The sequence below is a fragment of the Homo sapiens genome, chromosome 8 (genome assembly GCF_000001405.40).
Source record: "Homo sapiens chromosome 8, GRCh38.p14 Primary Assembly".
NCBI lineage: Eukaryota > Metazoa > Chordata > Mammalia > Primates > Hominidae > Homo > Homo sapiens.
Genome location: NC_000008.11, coordinates 36,894,732 through 36,914,384, shown reverse-complemented (window position 1 = coordinate 36,914,384; position 19,653 = coordinate 36,894,732). Strand labels below are relative to the sequence as shown.

The 19,653-nt window shown below is 38.2% G+C and overlaps 1 protein-coding gene and 1 long non-coding RNA gene across 8 annotated transcripts in view; one reads left to right on the top strand and one right to left on the bottom strand.

The window, feature by feature from the left end:
* KCNU1 (potassium calcium-activated channel subfamily U member 1) overlaps window positions 1-19,653 on the bottom strand; it is a 151,752-nt gene that overhangs the window by 21,741 nt on the left and 110,358 nt on the right. For 5 of the 7 annotated variants that reach the window (NR_134267.2, NM_001031836.3, XM_011544426.3 and 2 more), the window contains 3 exons: window positions 8,581-8,677; window positions 4,850-5,074; window positions 3,266-3,455 (listed from right to left, as the gene is read on the bottom strand). Coding sequence is in view for 6 of the 7 variants with exons in the window: in NM_001031836.3 (NP_001027006.2) it covers window positions 3,266-3,455; window positions 4,850-5,074; window positions 8,581-8,677 (512 nt within the window). In the remaining variant the exon portion in view is untranslated. The remainder of the gene's footprint in view (window positions 1-3,265; window positions 3,456-4,849; window positions 5,075-8,580; window positions 8,678-19,653) is intronic. The other 2 variants (XM_017013144.3, XM_011544427.3) reach the window with 2 other exon arrangements.
* The window catches only part of LOC105379375 (uncharacterized), a 43,292-nt gene that overhangs the window by 10,823 nt on the left and 12,816 nt on the right, over window positions 1-19,653 (top strand). The gene's annotated exons all lie outside the window — the stretch shown is intronic.

Genomic DNA, 19,653 nt, shown 5'->3' with positions numbered 1-19,653 from the left:
GTTTAGCAGCATCTTTGACTTCTACCCACTAGTGGTGATAGCATTCCCACAGTGGTGAAAATCAAAACTGCCTCCAGCCATCATAAGGTGACCTCAGGAGATAAATTGCCACTGGTTGAGAACCACTCTATCCCCTAGTGAAAGGGATAGAAAACTGCCTAGCAGCAAATCTTATTTTAGTGCTGATTGTGGACGATGCTTTCTGCCTCCTGGTAGAATCTCATGATCCTTTATAATTTCAGTTCTTGGGGGTGTGTATTCCTGGTTCTACCTCTTAATGCTTGGTGGAAGAGGAGTATTATTATGGAATGAGAAGAATGATTAAGAAAGCCAAACAGGCTTCTGTGAAGATTGGGAATTTCTATAATATTAATACAAACTCCAGATAGAGACTTATGATGCCAGAGTAACTGGGGAAGATTCTGGGTAATAGCCCTTTGCTATTCACAGGTTGCCTCAAAATGTTCTTAAAATGTGACCTCATGGCCAGGCGTGGTGGCTCAAGCCTGTAATCCCAGCACTTTGGGAGGCCGAGGCAGACGGATCACAAGGTCAGGAGATCGAGACTATCCTGGCTAACACGGTGAAACCCCGTCTCTACTAAAAATACAAAAAATTAGCCAGGCATGGTGGCGGGTGCCTGTAGTCCCAGCTACTTGGGAGGCTGAGCCAGAAGAATGGCATGAACCTGGGAGGCGGAGCTTGCAGTGAGCCAAGATCGCACCACCGCACTCCAGCCTGGGTGACAGAGTAAGACTCCGTCTCAAAAAAAAAAAAAAAAAAATGTGACCTCACTGATGTGACAGTGCCAGATAAGCAGACCTGATGCCTTCATTAGGTGTGTCCTTAGAGCCTATCTGCATCTATATTTCCCCGTCACACAAATGGGTATGATCCCATTCAAACAAACCCAACTTAGCACATTCTTCTCTAACCTTTTCTTTCATCTTTTCAAGTAAGCACACTCATACTCATAATGATTCAAATACTTTGGCATTCCTTCCTTTTCTCTTTGCCTTTCCAATTTTTTTGACATTCCTTCCTTTTCTCTTTGCCTTTCCAATTTTTTTTCCTTCTTTCCTCAACCTCATTCCCCCAAAACCAGTCAGCTCCTTCTTTAAGGGCAAACTTCTTGCCTGTAACAGAGTACCCAACATATCATAAAAAATCAATATTTTTTTGTTGATTGAATGAATAAAGTAGGAAAATCACTAGATATAAAGGAAACTAAAATTATAATCATAGGTTTACGTTTTGTCTAGTCCATAAAGGAGGTGAAATTTCAATAATAGTAATAACAGGAAGAACTATTCACCTAGACCATCAACTAAATGACTTATGGTGTTGTCAGTTATCCTGGGCTTATATTGTGCATGCATTTTCATTTGTATATGGATTTATAAGCTTTTTTTTTTTTTTTTTTTTTTTTTTGCTCTGTCACCAGACTGGAGTGCAGTGGCACGATCTTAGCTCACTACAGCTTCTGCCTCTTGAGTTCAAGGGATTTTCATGCCTCAGCCTCCCGAGTAGCTGGGATTACAGGCGTGCGCCACCACACCAAGCTAATTTTTGTATTTTCAGTAGAGATGGTTTCACCGTGTTGACCAAAATGATCTCAATCTCCTGACCTTGTGATCCCCCCACCTCGGCCTCCCAAAGTGCTGGGATTACAGGCGTGAGCCACCGCGCCCTGCCTATACTGCTTTTAAAATGAATACTTCTTCTTTGTCCAATTATGGACAGTTACAAGCATGCACATGCACACACACACACACACACACAAATGATGAGTGAATCCAAGGAGTGACCCTAATTGCTAAGCTAAGGATTCCTATGGCAGAACAAAACAGCACTTTTATGAATATTCAGATTTGCTCAGCAGAGGTAGGGCTCACCCCTCCTAAGTCTGGCTGTTCATGGCACTTTGATATTCATGAAGTGCCTTGTTATTAGCTCTGCTTTGGAAAACACCCTGAAACCCTAGTCTCTGGGTCAGGATTGGTTGCTTAGTGAAGGTCTGTCTAATAGCTGACTCAGTTTGCCCTCCAAAGATTAGATTACTGTTTTATTCCTTTGTGCCAATAACCTTATATTTTCTTGCATAGCAACAGTGTCTAGGAGTCAGAGAGAGATTTTTGGTTTCCCAGTTTCAATCACGAACATTGTTATCGACAGCCATTATCATGAAAAGCCTTGCAATGCCTTAAATGCTAACCTCTTCAAGTGCCATGCAAAGTGGGACAGCTGTGGTCAGAGGCTGCATGGCCCAAGGATTGAGTACCTGATCTTGATACAGAGAATCAATTGTCCCCAAGGAACATAGCTTGATCCAGGGGATTCCAGTCATGACTTACTTTTATTTCTAGAATTGGAAATCTGTTTTAGATACAGAAAATTCTTCAGTAATAGTACTTTTAGATTAGATTGAGGGGATGGTAGTCAATTTTTAGAAATAGACTAATGTATAAGCTTTTTCCCTTTTTGAGGGAGAAGGAAAATCACAATTCTGTCATGGGAATTGACCATAGGCACATTTTGAGCATAGAGAAATGTGTGGAAGCTCCTCAGGTGTCACAGCTCATTTGCTGCAATTCAACAAGTATTTGTTAAACATCAACCGAATGACAGTAATTGCAATAGGCACTGAGAGAAACACAAAGGGAAAAGAGACATGATCCCCATCCTGGAAAGACCCTTGCATCTCCCTCACCATCTCCTTCTAGTCTGAAGTTGAAGTATGACAGTTTTAGTCTATAGCTGTTAGAAAAGATCTTAGTCTTCTAAAATTCATATACTGAAATCATCTCAAAAAGTAAAAGAGAATCATGGTTCATTCTCTCAACCACAAAACTAACAATTTGACCTTGATTGCATTAGATCTATAAGATCCAATGAGAATTTCATCATAATAATAACTATAGTGGTACCTCATTAATTAAAATAATATACCACATGCTATGTTCACTGATCATAACAACAAAAATGATAACACTTCAAAATTATGTTATTTTTTCCTTAAAAATTAAAAAAACTGCGTTAAGTGCATTCCATTTAGAAGATGCACACCATCATCCATTTGACTTAGAATTCCAGGGCACTGAACTGTGGGCTATTTCTACTATGGGATTCTCAGGATTGGAAGGGACCTCAGAGGACATCTGGCCCACCCTCCTGCTCCCCATAATTAAAATACTTCAAAGAGGAGTTAATTATCTCTTTTTTTCCATACGTCCTAGTTTCTTCTTTTCAGGGGTGCTGTTCTCACCTGACACTGAGGGTGACGGGTCAGAGGAGGAGTCAATTTGCAAGGATCCGATGGTGAGGGTTGCCATGATGGCTTCTGTGTCTACCAAAGTCTGGTTGCTTGATGGCTGGGGTGGGGGGGACAAGACAGCACACATGGAGCATTGCTCTATGTTGGCCGCATGGAGGTCTCCAGAATAAAGTGCACATCCCTAATGAGAGGAAAAGAGAGAGGAGGCACTGGTCGGATGGAGGGATGTTATATCATGGCTCATGGTGGTGGCTCTTTGTGAGTGATGTAATTTTTGAGCTTTGAGCTCCAACCTTTGCTGACTTGATTTTAAAACTTAGTTACCTCATATCTGACACATTTAACCTTATCAAACATTAATATTTTAGTGTGAATACATTTCATAGATTCTTTCCTGAAAGCAAGTTTGGATGAGACAGAGGAGAGTGGGGAGGGAGGAACGTAAGTCCGTGCCACTGACTCAGGTGGAAGAAGAGAGTAGGGTCAGGGTAACAGTGATGAGGAAAAAAATTCAGAGAAAAGAGAGGTTATGGATCTAGAGGCAAAATGTGCATCCTCACAATATTGCTAGTACAAACAGCTGGCCCTACTTATACTCTCTGGGTTAACTAGCAAAGTGGCAGTCGCTTCTTTCTTTGGTGGAAAAACAGAGATCAATCTGGTACTGTCTTCCGGTAGGTTGGAGTCTAATATAGTGGTAATTCCTAACACTAGCTGGATCAGATTTGCTCTTATTTTCTTCCTTTCAATGGACTTAAGCAGGAGCGGTAGTACAGGGAAACTTACAGTGGCTTTTTAAAAAAGCAAATGCAATTTGCTTCTTGAGATAATTATTTTTGAAATTTGAAAAATATTCCTTACATTAGGTTGGTGCAAAAGTAACCACGGTTTTTGCCATTACTTGCAAATATATTGCCAGCATTATGAAAATGCTTTGGTGCGTATCTCATGAAAATGAAATGCTTTGGTGCATTTCACAGTGTACATAATGGACTCCTCAACCAGTGAAATGGTGGCATAGAGTGGGACATAGATCTATGCAAGTTCAGGAAAAATATAGTTGCAACCGCCATACCACATAAGTAAAATCCCTCCTCTCCATACAGCTATCAGGGACCATGTGGCATTATATGGTCCATATAAAATGTCTCCAGAAAAGATGAAAAAGCTAGAGCACAAATGCTGGCCAGTATTAGCTTAGGTGTAGCCATTAAATTATAATCTGACTCAGAAATGCAGAGAAACTCTTATTTGTACAAAGACCGTAAAACATGGTGATTCGAGCATTAACTCAAGAGCCACAACATCTGGATTTAAATCTTAATTTTGTTAGTTACTTACTGGCTGTACAATCTTGGTCAAGTTACTTACTCTTCCGGTGCTTAAAGTTCAATAAATTTAATATCTACCCCATAGGGTGGTTTTGAGATTAAGTGAATTAATATAGGTAAAATATTTAGAACAGTTTCTGGCATCTGGCAAGGACTGTAGAACTGCAATATTATCATTATTAATTCTAGTCCTATTAATATTGAAATCCTTATAAATATTAACTTTTCCTTATATGATACTTACAGGCAGAATGTATATCTGGGGAAAATTCCAGAGAAATCGCCATTCTCTCTGTAGATAGTCCAGAGACCCAATGAACACTATGTCCTTCAGCTCCTTCCTGGTATAGTTGCTGGCTCTCAAGGGCATTACAAAGTTCCGAAGCCCCATCGGGGCTGAGTGGGCATCTCCAAATACACATGCTACAATATGGTTCCGAAACTTATACTTTGACTTGCCAGTTCGTTTCTAAGGATAAGGATGCCACAGTCTGGTCATTTTCATAAGCAAGATGAGAATCCCTCCAAGTAGGCCCCCTCTTCTCCTCCCAATTCTTCTAGGTACATCCACAGCTCTACTTTCATAAGGTGAATAGAATTTTGCAAATTGTTTATAAAAAACAGAACTCATGCACAAGTGGTGCAATTACACCTTTTACTTTTTTGTGGAATTTCTTTTTATTTCACTTTCTTTCTAGTTTTCTATTAGCTTGGAATGCATCAACTAAAACTCAGATTAGCATCATTCCTCAGGGTGTGAAATCATTAGACCAAATGGAGAAAGTATTTCTTGATTTTTATTTCACATTTTTAGCCTTGTATGTGCCATAGTAAAATTCAGTGAAAGCCTAAGACATTCCAGATTCAATGCTAAATTATGTCTTCTAGTGAGTCCTGAAAATTACAGCAAGCTGTATAACATATTGCAGTATTAAGTGGGTTTTCATTCATTAGTTTGAACCACATGAATTTACCTTTTTATGGGTCAAAAATGGTTGAACAATGGCAATTTCATATGGTTCAATTGAATATACTGAACTGATTCTATAGACTCCTGCATCAAGGAAATTCATCACGCAAAGTGCATACAAGAAAAAGAAATATTATAAAAATTTAATTTCCCCATCCTGTGTCCAAGTGTTCTCATTGTTCAGTTCCCACCTATGAGTGAGAATATGCGGTGTTTGATTGTCTGTCCTTGCGATAGTTTTCTCAGAATGATGGTCTCCAGGTTCATCCATGTCGTGGGGTGGGGGGAGGGGGGAGGGATAGCATTAGGAGATATACCTAATGTAAATGACAAGTTAATGGGTGCAGCACACCAACATGGCACATATGTACATATGTAACAAACCTGCACATTGTGCACATGTACCATAGAACTTAAAGTATAATAAAAAAAATTTCATTTGATCTCAAACATTTGAATATGTCTCATACTACTATCAGCATTGCCAATTGTTAACAATGCCCCTGTGTCTCCAAGTTGAAAACAAAAGAATATGCATGGAATATACTTAAGTTTCTCCCACAGTCATAGAGACTCATAAAAACAATAAATGTAACTTTTAAAGAATGATATTCCTGTGGGAAACTTATTGTAAGCCTATGTGTGGTTTCTTTCAGAGTATGGCTAATGTCTCCTCTTAACAGCACTGGGATGTAACAGAAAAAACCCTGGACTCGGAGTCAGAAGACATGATTTTGTATTCTGGTACTATTGTTAGCTATATGACTGAGCAAATTACTTAACCTCTCTGGTTCTCAATTTCTTTATGTTTAAAATGGAAAAAAAAACCAAAGAGTTAATTTTGTTGTAGGACATAATATATTCAAAATGTTTATTTCTTAACTCACTAAAAGTTGTTCAATAACTATCAATCAAATCTAAAAGTTATTGAATTTCTATATTTTCAAAGGAGGACATTTAGAAGCTGGTACAGAGTAAGTTTAATTTGCAGCATGAGCATTCCCTGCATTCCTAGACACACAAAGACTCAGAATACTTCAAATGGATATATCATTCTTCTTTATGCCAGTCCTTTGCTGGGTTAAATGGCAATCTTCTATGAAACAGGCATTGATGAAGTCTAACAGGATAAATAAGTAACATCTGACATTTCAACAATTAAAGTTTACCAAATTAGCATATACTGGGAAATACTGTACTGTACCCTCCTTCCAAGAGAGATCTCCCTGCGAGGGGAAATAAAGCTACTTGTCTGGAGAGCCTTCCTAGAGTGATATGAATCTTAACCAAATCTATTAAATAATTGTCTCTAGCTAATCCGATTAGTTTTAACTTGAATAATGAAGCCTCTAACGGTATTTAATGTAACATGTCTAAAGTCCAACAATTGCTTTTCTGAGTAGAACTAAACAATTAGAAACAAGATACATGGCCAAGTGCATTAATGGGCACAGCTAGAGAGGCAATTTCTCCAAGAAACTGTGGCACTAAACTGTCTCCTGATTAAGAAAGATGGTGACTATTGGAAGAAGGGGAGGATGTCCTATTTGTTCAAAATAACTTAAATTGATCATTTCTACTTGACCCTTTTGCAAATGAAACCAAGTTTAAAGATACCCCGAATTTTGCAATCCAGATATTTCTTTCCTAGAGGCTCACATTTCAAATTCCTTAGCAATTTTAAAGCTAGAAGGCATCCTAAACTTAACAAAAGACCTGGTTGGTATTCTGAACTATATTCCATATCAAGTATCATAAGGGAAATATCAATCATGGCAACCTGTCTGCATTCTTAATAAATATGATCTAATAAAACTTCTGCTATTTCCATCGTTTGGTCTCAAATGTCTCAATCTGCAACCAACTTCCTGACCTTTCTAAAGATTTGCCTCCCACTGAAAATATGTTTGGCTTCCTGCTCAACGGATGTTTATTTCGTACAGTTCAGAATAAGACATAATTGCTAAAATGGTGAGTTTCAGCAACCCTAATAGTCTTCCAGTTGGTATGACAGCTCTGACAGTTTCGTGTTTCTGATCAAATGATGGATCATGCTTTTACAAAAGTTGAAATATATTCTGTCAGGACACTGGCACTGAGCCACAAAGATGTGTATGTATGCATTTGTGCATCTATCAAAAAAAGTGAACTAAACTACTTTTGGAAAGCAAGAAAATATATATAAGTATCAATTAGTCATATATGAAAAAATATATATAGGGTTCATACAGCATGCAAGCAATCATTTTTATTAGTTAAATTTATCAGCTACTACTTGTAAGGTAAACCACTAAGATTATACTTGAGTTTCCAACTCCAGAAAATTACAGTAGGTGGGCATCTAGAAAGCAGGTGCCAGACCCTGGGTTAGGATACAAGACTTTTTCCATCTTAGTTGCAGGCATTTCTGTGAGTTGAGTTAGTTTGTCTCTTTGAGAAGAGAGACAAGGACATGACTGTAATATCTACAAAGATTCACCCCGGTTGTACGGAGTGTTTAGGAGGCATATTTGTGGCTAATGTGTTAAATCTAAGTAGAGCCAGCTTTAAGAAAAACCACTACAGAAAAATCCGAATTTCAAAACCAATACATTAGAAAAGTGCTTATTTACTTAAAAAAAAAAAAAAGACTGCAGAGTCCTTGTAAACAGTAGGTTTCCCTGGTGCATTTAAATTAATTAGATTTACTAGGAAAACAGCAAAACTTCAGGAGAACATTATTCTGAATAACTGAGTCAGCTAAACTGTCAAAGGAGAGAGGAAATAGTTGAAGACATATAATTGTTTGAAATTCCAGCATATTACTCATGTAGGCTTTGTCAAATGCCTCATGTGTTACTTTGCATATTATTCTTATGGCTGGTGAGGGATGTGGGTTTTTTTCTTTTTTTGACAAATTCACAGTTTACAAAGGGAAGTGACAGGTGCTTATGACTAACAAGAACATCACTTACCCTACGAAATGCTTTATCTTATTTGAGATTTGATGATGCAAGATCACCTACCAGAGTCACCTTGTCCAAAGAGGTTGGTTTGCACCAGTGAAACATCCCACTGCTATCAAGCTGGTCAGAATCTTGTTCTACATCATGTTGAAGAGTCCTAAATAGGAAGAATGGAGAGTTAGTTTGAGACTATTTGGAGCTCCTCTGTAACAAAGCCGAGATGTAAAACTCATTAGAGCCTTGAGCTCAAAGAGGAGAATAGCATAAGTAGAATGACCTCAGGTCTGTAAGACTCTAGAATAAAGGCTTAGGTCTGAAGAGCACAAAGAGCCCAGACTGTATCATAGTTGAAGACACTCTAAGCATTTTGGGCAAAAGCCACATCAGGATTTTTTTTTTTTTTTGCCTTAGATTATATGTACCTTGAAGATAGTTATTTCTGCTTTTAATTTTGATACTGTATGATACTGTTATCCATTGGCAGATATCATGAGCAGTGTTTTGGGCACCTGAATATAGAATTTAAACAGCTGTGAGAGATTCAATCATGGGTGATATTTCTCTCCTTAGCCTATTTTCCTCCTGTCTCCTTTCCATGTATTTTTCTGAATGGGTCCCTGTTGAAACATCCTGATTTAGTAAATACTTTTTGCATTCTTTAAAGCTTTCATCACTGGTCTGCATTTGCCTAGACTTTGCTCTGATCTTGATCTAAGTCTTGGCAATGTCATCCCCATGGTCACCCCACACTGCAGTTAGACACAAGCTTGTTTCATAATGTATTCAATCCCTGACAGAGTTGGATGTTCTTTTGAAAAATCCCACTTTCATCCTAAGGAATGCATATTTGCTTGTGAGAGAATAAGAAAACCCTTGTCAAATTACAGAAAATCGAGGATTAGAAAGACCTGTATCAGCCAGGAAAAATCTAGGCTTAACACTGCAGAAACAACCTCAACATCCCCAGGGCCTGACACAACACAGCTTACTTCTTCTCACCTACACTATATATGTTACTCAGATGAAAAGGTGTCTCTCCTCCACACAGCCATCCGGAGCCTGGGGGACAGAGGCTCTACCATCTTATGGCCTCAACATCTGGAACATGCATCCTCCTCAGTCACCAGGCAGGAGAGGAGAAAGGAACTGGAGAACCAAGCCTAGGCCTCTAACTGCCTTGGCTCAGGGTGACTCACTTCATTTCTCCTCACATCTCATTGGCCAAAATTAGTCACATGGCTCCTACTGACTTTAAGAGGCCTGGGGAACATGGGAAGTAACTTGAAATGTTCAGTGAGCATTTCTGTCTCTGCCAGAAGCTTTAAAGACTACCCACCCTTATTTTATGGATAAAAGTCAAAGAGCCAACAAAGTGCAAAACTGGCATTTGAATAGACTGTTGAAGTTGAGGTTACCAACCTCACCATATCCAGTTCTGCTTTCCTTCCTGAGTGTAGGGATAGGTAGGTGGGGCCATGTGACTAGCTCTGTCCAATGAAATGTGAGAAGAGACAGGCCAGGCAATGAGAAGCTCTCAGGTGAAGTTCTCAGGGTCTCTTCTAGCCTAGCTGCTCCAGTGGGCACCTTGAGCTGAGTGCCCTGGCCTGCTTGGCCTGTGCTGGACATGTAATGTGAACAACAAATAAACCTTTCTTGTGCAGCCACTGAGATTTCATAGCTGTTACCAGGGCATAAGTCCATCTCATTCTAACACCAATTCCTTTTGCAAAACACATGTTCCATGGTACATTAGTAACTGGAGACATCCTAGGAGTAACCAAAGTTTGAGAGGAATGGCCCCTCTTTGACAGCCACTGATATGGTCTGGCTGTGTCCCCACCCAAATCTCATCTTGAACGGTAGTTCTCATAATCCCCATGTGTCATGGGAGGGACCCAGTGGGAGGTAATTGAATAATGGGGATGGTTACCCTCGTGCTGGTCTGGTGATAGTGAGTGAGTTCTCAGGAGATCTGATGGTTTTATAAGGGGCTTCCCCCAATTCACTTTGCACTTCTCCTTCCTGCCATCATGTGAAGAAGGACTTCTTTGCTTCCCCTTCCACCACGATGGTAAGCTTCTTGAGGCCTCCCCAGCCATGCTAAACTGAGTCAACCAAACCTCTTTCCTTTATAAATTACTCAGTCTCAAGTATTAGCAGTGTGAGAACAAACTAATATAGTCACAGTGCACTTTGGCCTGTGAAAGATTCTGACAACAGCATATAAAAGGAATTCTGCAATATAGAAATCCTTTAAAAATTGTATAATCCAGTGTTTCACAACTTATCTGACCACAAAAGCTTTTACTATTTACTTACACACTTACTTATTTTATTTATTTATTTAAAAGTATCTGTTATTGTCCCCTACAGCCTTTTGGAATATACTGTACTGTGTGTCACATTACAGATTCAGTCCTGCTCATCTCAGATGTAACTGATAACAATGTTCTCCCATGCGATTTTACTCTACATCTTGGGAGAAATACAATCTATTCCCCTTCATGCTGCAGGGTTAGGGGGTTTCCTTGTGAATTAATACAGTTTATTATTCAATGCCTCACCCCCAAACTCAGACCTCAACATAATGACAAGCAATTTTGCTTTCCTCAAGCAGGCTAGCTTCTAAATTGATAACTTACATCTTATTTTTTTTTCAGACAAAAGAACTTACTCCAACTTAGATTGAAGTGTCAAACTTAAAGTAATAGGACAGAGAAGACCTAGAAGGAGAAGCCAGGGTAGGGGGAACGGGATACTAGAAACAGGTTTGGAAAGTCAGAGAGGGTAATTCCTAATAAGAGTGGCCAAGGTCTTGATGCAATCCTTAATCTCCTCTTGCACTTAAGAACTACCTATAAACTTAGTGGGTTTAGTGAATTCTAATCATTTGCCTAGCTAGACAATGTAACATATAAGCTTCAAGGTCAGCTTGACCAAAATGGGTTACCCTGTTCATTCAAATTAACATGTCTTTTGGCAACTTAAATATCTATCTATAAGCCATGTGCTCCAACACCAAGTTCCAAAAGCCCCACCGGCTCTCTTAATCATACCAGACAGGACCCTGATGGCAGCCTTATGCCAAGCTTGTTAATGGGACTCACCAGCAAGCACAGCTAATACCTGAGTCTGGTCTTGATTTTCATCAGGATTTGGAGCATTGATGAATGATATAATTCATCCGTAGAACCTCTTTCTATCTAAGAGTCGCTTCCTAGACACTCTCCCTAGGATCCTCAGAACATGTGTTTACATATCATGACCAAGTTGGTAGTGACTGTCTTTCAGGGACTCTTTGAGAACAATTTGGAAATAGCTATGTTACCTTTTAGGTGGTTCCCTGCTGTCTGCCCTCAGCACTCAAGTCTACAGCTGCTACTACTACTTTCCTTCTGGTCACTTTCTTCAGCTTGTCTCTACTTCCCCTCCTTCTCCACCCTCTCCACCCTCATGATAAATGAAGAGTCTTTGGTCTGGTAGTTAAATGCCCTATTGGCAAATTTAAGATGATCTTCTCCCAAGCACATTTTAACATGACTCAGAATAGGGAATCAATCACTGTACATTTTTATCATAATAAAAGTGTGGTATATGTATACAAGCTGTCACAGACAACATTTTTCTTCATTCTAATGTTATGAAAAACAGATATGCCTTAAAGGAAACACCTGTTGGAGACCGATATTTAAAAAATGCTGGAGGAAACCCACTTCATCATAAAGGCATCCATCTGGTGTCCTTGCCAAAGCAAAACCGAATGCAATTTACATCACCATCCCTTAACTAAAGCTCCGTTCTGCCATATGCTTTGCAAATGTCATGATCCTCATAGAAACATACTCTACTAAAGAGACTAATAAATCATCTATGGGAATGTTCAGCACTAGCAGTCTTAGAACATGGAAGCAAAGAATAGAACATAAAGGTTATGCTATAGCAGGAAAAGGTAGCCACGGGGTACCATTCAGGTCAAAAAAGACCTGTCAAAGCCTGACCAAGGTGGAGGGGGCTTTGTAGGAGAGACTGGCAAGAAATGTGGTGGGAGTTGTGTGGGGTGGCCTTCAGCAGGATGTGTTTGGGATAATAGTGGGGTTGGTTCCCTGGTCACAAGTCTTGCTTCTTACTGCCCAAGCAACAGCGTGTTGTATTTCTGTCTGGGAGCATCCAGGAAGCAATGAACCTTGAAATGTTCTCAGGGTCCCATCTCCAGCTTTCAGCTTTGGAAGCTGCTGGATAAGAACAGTTTTTGCAGCCTATCCACTTGTGGCTGTGTAGAGCAGCACGCAAATAAGCATTCCTTTCTGATGACTGCTTTTCTTTGGGTTGCTTTGATATGCATGAAGACTGTGTCTCATGAGCAGAACGTGTTGCCTCATGAGCAGAACGTGTCACTTGAACGTCTTCCAGCAGGGAAAGGCAGCTCTGTTTTCTGCGACCATTCTGAATAGAACTTCTATTCTCCCATGTTCCTAGCAACTTATCCTGTATAAATCCTATCAGTTAAAGGAAAAAATAAATAAACCCTGTGCCTTTGGTTGCCAGTCATGGCACCTGATGAGAGAGAGACCAAACCATGTAAGAAAACTTCTATTAAGAAGGTGGACTAGGTTTCACTGTGCTAGTTCAGGAGGCATGGTTTCCAAGAATGTAAATTTGTCATCATTATTTTCTCCAACTTACAGATTTGACTCAGATGATTCTTGAAGGTGATCTGCCAAAAAATGAGATCTTCCACTGTTCACAATATTTATTAGAAAGTTCAAAAAGCCTCTACAATTCCCTTTTTTTTTTCTTTTGTAGACCTCACTTTCGGCTGTGTTAGGAAATCCTGGCTTATGACCATTCTACTTGAAATTTCCTTAAAACCCCACAGATGGCTTGTAAATTCTTAAGAGAGTTTTCTGGCCTGGATGCAGAGCAATATATTTTTGGGGCAAGATTTGAGTTTTACAAAAATAACAACTTTCATGAAGTTCTAGCATATATAGAAGGAGGGAAAAGCATTTGTGTGTCCAGCAGTTTGAGTGGCTTTCTTGGTTCAATCTTTTGAAAACTCCATTGTGACTGTCTCTTGAGCATAATAGTCAAGTTCTAGCCAAAAATCAAGAAAAAAATCCTGTGTCCCAAGATGCCTTTGATGGTTCTGAGATTTTTGTATATCAAAGGCTACATCTGCCCTCTCTCCAATGACTTTATAAATAGCAAGGCTATTCAGTTTACAACTGACTTGGAAATACTCACTTATTGTCAATTCTGATGACTTCTGTATGTTATGGGGAAAAAAAATCACCTAAAATTGGGGAATGTAAGGGCAGGTTACATAATCAGTGCTTCCCACCTGATCCTACTCACATACCCCCTCCCACACCTATACACATATTGTAGTCAAATATTAAAAACTGAGCCTAATCTTTATGGCCATATTATGATTTAATTTTTCTGGATTTCATCTCATTGCTGTTTATTCTTTATGAGGCGTTTTATTTTACCTTGGAGGGAAATTTAAGGTTTAAAAAATTGATAATTTTATATAGTTCATTTCCCCAGAAACCTGTGTATAAGCAAGCTGAAAAGAGATCCTGTGAGCGCCAAGAAACTTTCAGGACCAAGCAACTGGGGACATAATTCACCCTCCCTGTTAGAAAGGCCTCTGCGATTCCTTCCTTTTCCATGAGGAGTGAAATAGGCACCAGGCTCTGTGTCTTGCATCCAGCTTAGCCACTTAATCCTTGCTGTTACTCCTTTACCGGGTAAAATTTTAAAAAGACCTGCCATGAAATCTCATGGGATGTGACATACGTTGACAGCAGCCTGGTTACTTCCAAAGCACCAAGCCCCCTTGGTTGCCATCTGGGAAAACCTTAGGAAACCATCTGGGAAGAGGAAAATAAACACACTGTCTACCGGCCATTCTGCTTTGCTTGGGTTTCCCAGGACATGGAGACTTTCAGGGTTAAAACTGGTCACTCTGTTGCCCAAATGGCGATACTTGTTTGTGCTAATTTGAAAAGCTCTCTGGGAGGAAGAGGAGGAAAGAAAGAATAAAACACTTGAAATATCATGCCTAGAAAGCCTTCCATGTTGTGCAGAAAACTTTCTACACCTCTGTGTTTATTGAAGAGTTCTGCTGATGTTTAATGGAAGAGAAGACAGAGAAGACAGCTAGGTGGCCAATAGCCCTGAAATGTTTTAAGATAAACAGGCTATGTATTCTTCAACCTCTCTCTCTGCTTCCTGGTCTCTCCTGATTCTTTGCATACACAGAGTCTTCATGAAGTCATTATTAAATTATAAACTTTAATAGTAGAGATAATAGGTATGATTTAAAAAACATCTGTAAATGGTGTTTTTAAAAGGAGGTATATGAAAATTCAGGATATCATTCTATTCAGTATAATCTTATTTCAGTTTACGTAGGAGAATGTAAACTGTGTTCTAAGGTAAACAAGATCAGCTGTGAGCAGAGTGTTCTGTTTGCCTTTAAATGCTGCTTTACAGATGGGCTCTGTCAAACTCATGGCCTCTGTTTTCAATGTTTACAATCTAAAATCTCCACGAAGGCATTTTTTTTTTCTATCTTCTAGCTTAGAAGTTAGACCCAAGATCAGAGTGGCCCCAGCCCAGGTGAGGCAAGACTAGGATAGAGTTTCTATTAGATAAACCCACATCTAAGCCCATATTTGAACTTCTCTCTGTTAAGCTTTGCTTTATTTCTGATGAGTAAAAACTGACAGCTTTTCTGCAGCGCTTTTTCTATGAATTTGTATAGGCATCTCTGAGTATAAATTGTTACCAGATGAAAAGAGAAAGATAAAAAGACAATTTCCCTCTTTCTCACCCATTCTGCAGATGAACCCTCATTTAAATCCCTTTATATTTCATGGAAATTGCATTTGGAATTTTCTACAATGTTAGTACAGATGAGACATGACCCAGAGCAGCAGGTACCTTTAATAAAAGTCAGAGTCTGTGCCCTCAGCTCAGGGCAAGTCTCAATCCTCATGATAGCAATTTCTTCAGCCAATTTTTTTCAGCATAAGGTTGTAGTTTTAGGTGCTCTTTCCCACACTCTCCAACACTTTCTAAATATCAACTTGCATAGTAAGTGTAGAAGTTGATCTAAATAAAAAATACTTCCCTCCCATAGACAGTTGTTGGCATAAGGTTTTCTTTGTGTATTGGACAAGGACCTGAACAATGAAGTCAGTTACTCTGACACTTTCAATCCTAAAACGCATTACTGAAACAAATGCAAATTTCAGACACAAGACTATTTTTTTTTTCTTTTTTCCTTTTTGGTGGGGTATGGAGATGGGGAATCGGAGCATGAGATATCTGAAAACTACCTCCCTTTTCATTGTATTGATCCACTTCCCAAGGTTTTATGGGATTGAGTTCAGGTCAGGGTTCAACATGACATAAATGCTTTCCTTATGCAGTGGGTTGGGAGGCTTGGCCTGGAAAATTATTAACATTAATAACCCCCAAAAGGAATTGGGACTGGAAACAATAGCACCCATCAAAATGTTACTGGTGTGAGGTGCACGTGTTTATGTATGTGAGAGAGGGATACAGGGGGCAGGTATCAAACACTGCAGAGGAAATTAAAATAATTGCAGGGTATATGAATATTTTAATGTCTTTTCTCTAGAAATAGGAAGTTATTTGTGAAGTCTTCTTATCCATATTGCTTAGTTTCTCTGAAATCCCTGTGGCTGAATGTTGAAATGGAGTCAACATAGTGTGCTGGTGATTATGGATTTTTGAAAACATTGGAAGGACCCAATGATGCATTGAGGACCACAAACTTTAAAAATTTCCTCACATCTGGAAGCCATCACTGGAGGAAAGCCTGTGAATACAGGCATCCTGAGTGTTACAACATTTTACTTAGTACCAGCGACCTATCAAGAAGCAATGGAGATAATGGAGATGGAGGCCATTTGGGATCACTCACGACATGGAGTCCTCCCCATCTGTGTGTTACACAATGGCTATTTTTAAAAGGAGGCATGCCTTGATTAAAGATGAAAAGTTAAAATTAGAAGTCTCTTGTGGGAGGGAAAAGGTTATGGACAGTGTTCTTTAACAAGAAGATGTGATTAGTGTAGGTCTGTGACTAGGGATGAAAGGTAAGCGTCAGAATTTTTTAGTGGGCCGTAGAAGTGCAGGGTGAGATAGCCTCCATAAGGCAGGGGCACTCATGCTTAGATGTTTCCTGTGCTTTAGTTTTTTAAATTAAAGGTGAATGAAAATGAAAAGGGGTAAGAAGGAGGATATTCACCCTGCTCTGTTCACCTCTAATTTGAAATGGAGTTTCTAAAGGTCATTAATTCCTCAGCTTTCCTGATGTGTGGCTCTTGGTGACATTCATATTTGGATTCCTTGAAGCTAAGACCTGTTGCATCAAGAAACTATTTAGATGTTCCACTTCTTATTCTAAAGCTCCAGAGGGAAATACTGGAAGTCATTTATTTCCTTGTAAATGTTTTGTACTTAGTTGCAGCCATTTATGGGGGGAGAGAAAAAAGATAGACAGAGAAAAAGAGAGAGAATGATTCTATAAATTTTATGGGAATTTTTCTACAATAGAGGGAGAGAGAGAGGGAGAGAGAGAGAATGATTCTATAAATTTTATGGAAATTGTTCTACAATTTGAAAATCACCACCAAACACACACACACACAGCTTTTGGCAATAAAATTCTGTCTTATGTATAATCAAATGTCTGCACAGTGGAACCACTGTGCATGCTGATAAGTGAGTTTTGACTCAGACTCTTTTTGCTATTGTCCCATAGCAAGAACAAAATCACCCCATGGTTCACCACTAGTTATAACTCAGGCAGAAGCACATGCATCTCTCTTTACTGATCTTGTGGAGTAAATGGAAGATGAAAAATTGTGTACTGTGAAAGTTTTTTAGGTAATCAACCTTGGCTTTTATAGACTAGAATAAATTGGCATCTGTATGAAACTATCTTAATACAAATATAAATAATATCTCACTTCCTGGTGATCAGTTTCTTGATTATTTTGCAAGAAGAAATGTTTTCCTATAATCTCTTTCTTTTTCATATCAAAAGCTCCATTGAAATAGATTCCCAATCATGTCTAAGCTCTTTTTACTGTGTGAAAAAGAAAATAAACTGCATGTTCTCTGAAATCTTCCTCCAACCTCTTCTATTTGATCACCTCAAAGGAACGGACCTTCTTTCTCAGAGTTCCAGGGGTAAAAGTCCAACAGTAAACACACCAAATTTTAGATGTCTTAAAGATCATCGCATTCTATTATTTGATTCCTTTATCTGCTGTACTATTACTTTTTGTTTCCATGGAAAATTGAGATTATATAATTGAGTCAATTTCTCTTTAAAAGTATTATTTACCCCTACTTTTCTGAATTTTCCAACAACCTATTAATCTAAACTCAAAACATTTATTAATAATTTGGAATGAAAATTATTGCTCTTATCAAATTATCATAAATCTAATCTTTGACTATTGTTTCCAGACATCTGATGTGATACTGTTCATCTTAACTATCTAGAACAGAGTTGACAAATTTTATTTTGCAAAGGGCTAGATATAATATTTTAAGCTCTTCAGGCCAAGAGGCTAAATCGATATCATGTAGGTACTTACATAACAAGAAAGAAAATAAGTTTTTATAAATATTCATTGATGATATTTAAAATATAATAGTTTAGTAATTTAAATTTCTTAAATTATAGGTCTACTAATAAAAAAATAATTTTTAAGGGATTTTTAAAAATTGGCATTCATAGTTAATATTCTCTATAATCAAAATTAATTGCAAATGTTCATATGTTAATGTTAACAACAACAAAATTTAACATATTTTATCTTTGAAAAAGTCTTTTCACACAGATAGGTACTATCAAATACCAATAGTGCTCCAAGAGCATAAGATTCTATAATAATTGAGTATATTTATTGCTTAGAAGGCATTTATAGAATTTTATTAGATTCTTCTTTTGATATTTGCCTTTTAGTATGTCATTATGTTGCAGATTAATCACTTGCAATGAAAGTTTAGGTAGAAACTTCTCAGTTGCATTGTTAAGTAAACTTTGAAATATAGAATTTTTTTAGCACTTGCATCAAGGTCTAAAATGACAATGCTGAAACTGAGATCAGAAAATATATCTACAGAAAATTTGTGTGGAAATAGTAATCTCATTTTTTATTTTAACTTTTGACAGCATGGGAAGTATATAAAGAAGAATGACATTAATTGTGATTCAAAGATTGATAATTGTCATTGTAATTATGATAGTATAAGTTTCACATGTTAGCTCTGCTTTGACTTTCAAGTTTAAATTTGTTAATAGAGATGATGAAACCTGCAGTGAATAATAAGTTTTGAAGTCATTTAGTGTTCGGAAATAGTGGTTGACAGCACAGTTCTTCTTATTCAGAAACATTTTAATCTTGATCCAGGTTTTTAAAATAACACAAAAGGCCAGGTACAGTGGCTCATGCTTGCAATCCCAGCACTTTGGGAGGCTGAGGGGGGCAGATTACTTAAGGCCAGGTGTTTGAGACCAGCCTGGACAACATGGTGAAACCCCATCTCTACTAAAAATATAAAAATTAGCTGGGCGTGGTGGTCAGTGCCTGTAATCCCAGTTACTTGGAAGTCTGAGGCAGAAGACTCACTTGAACTGGGGGGGCAGTGAGCTGAGATTGTGCCACTGCACCCACTCTGTCTGGGTGACAGAGTGAGATTCTGTTTCCAAAAAAAAAAAATCACAAAAAACTTTACTATTGTTAAGTTCTTAAACTGATGTGTAGTAGGGTAAGTCAGGATATTCAGATTTTATTTCTTACAAAACTTTATGGAACTAACAATGGCAAAGTTCATGAGAGCTAATAAAATTCACCATTGACACTTCTGGTTCAATAACTCATGATAAATTAATATATTATTCACAAAATACTTTCTGATGGATAACACAATAAGGACTATAGTCTTTATGCATTTTACATTTTACGAACTTTGTAAATTTGTCTAACTAGGACTGTTTCTGGTCTACATGTATTTTTGTATCATCTGTAATACATCTTAGCAGATTCCGCTTCAGATTATACTGAATTAATATTTTCT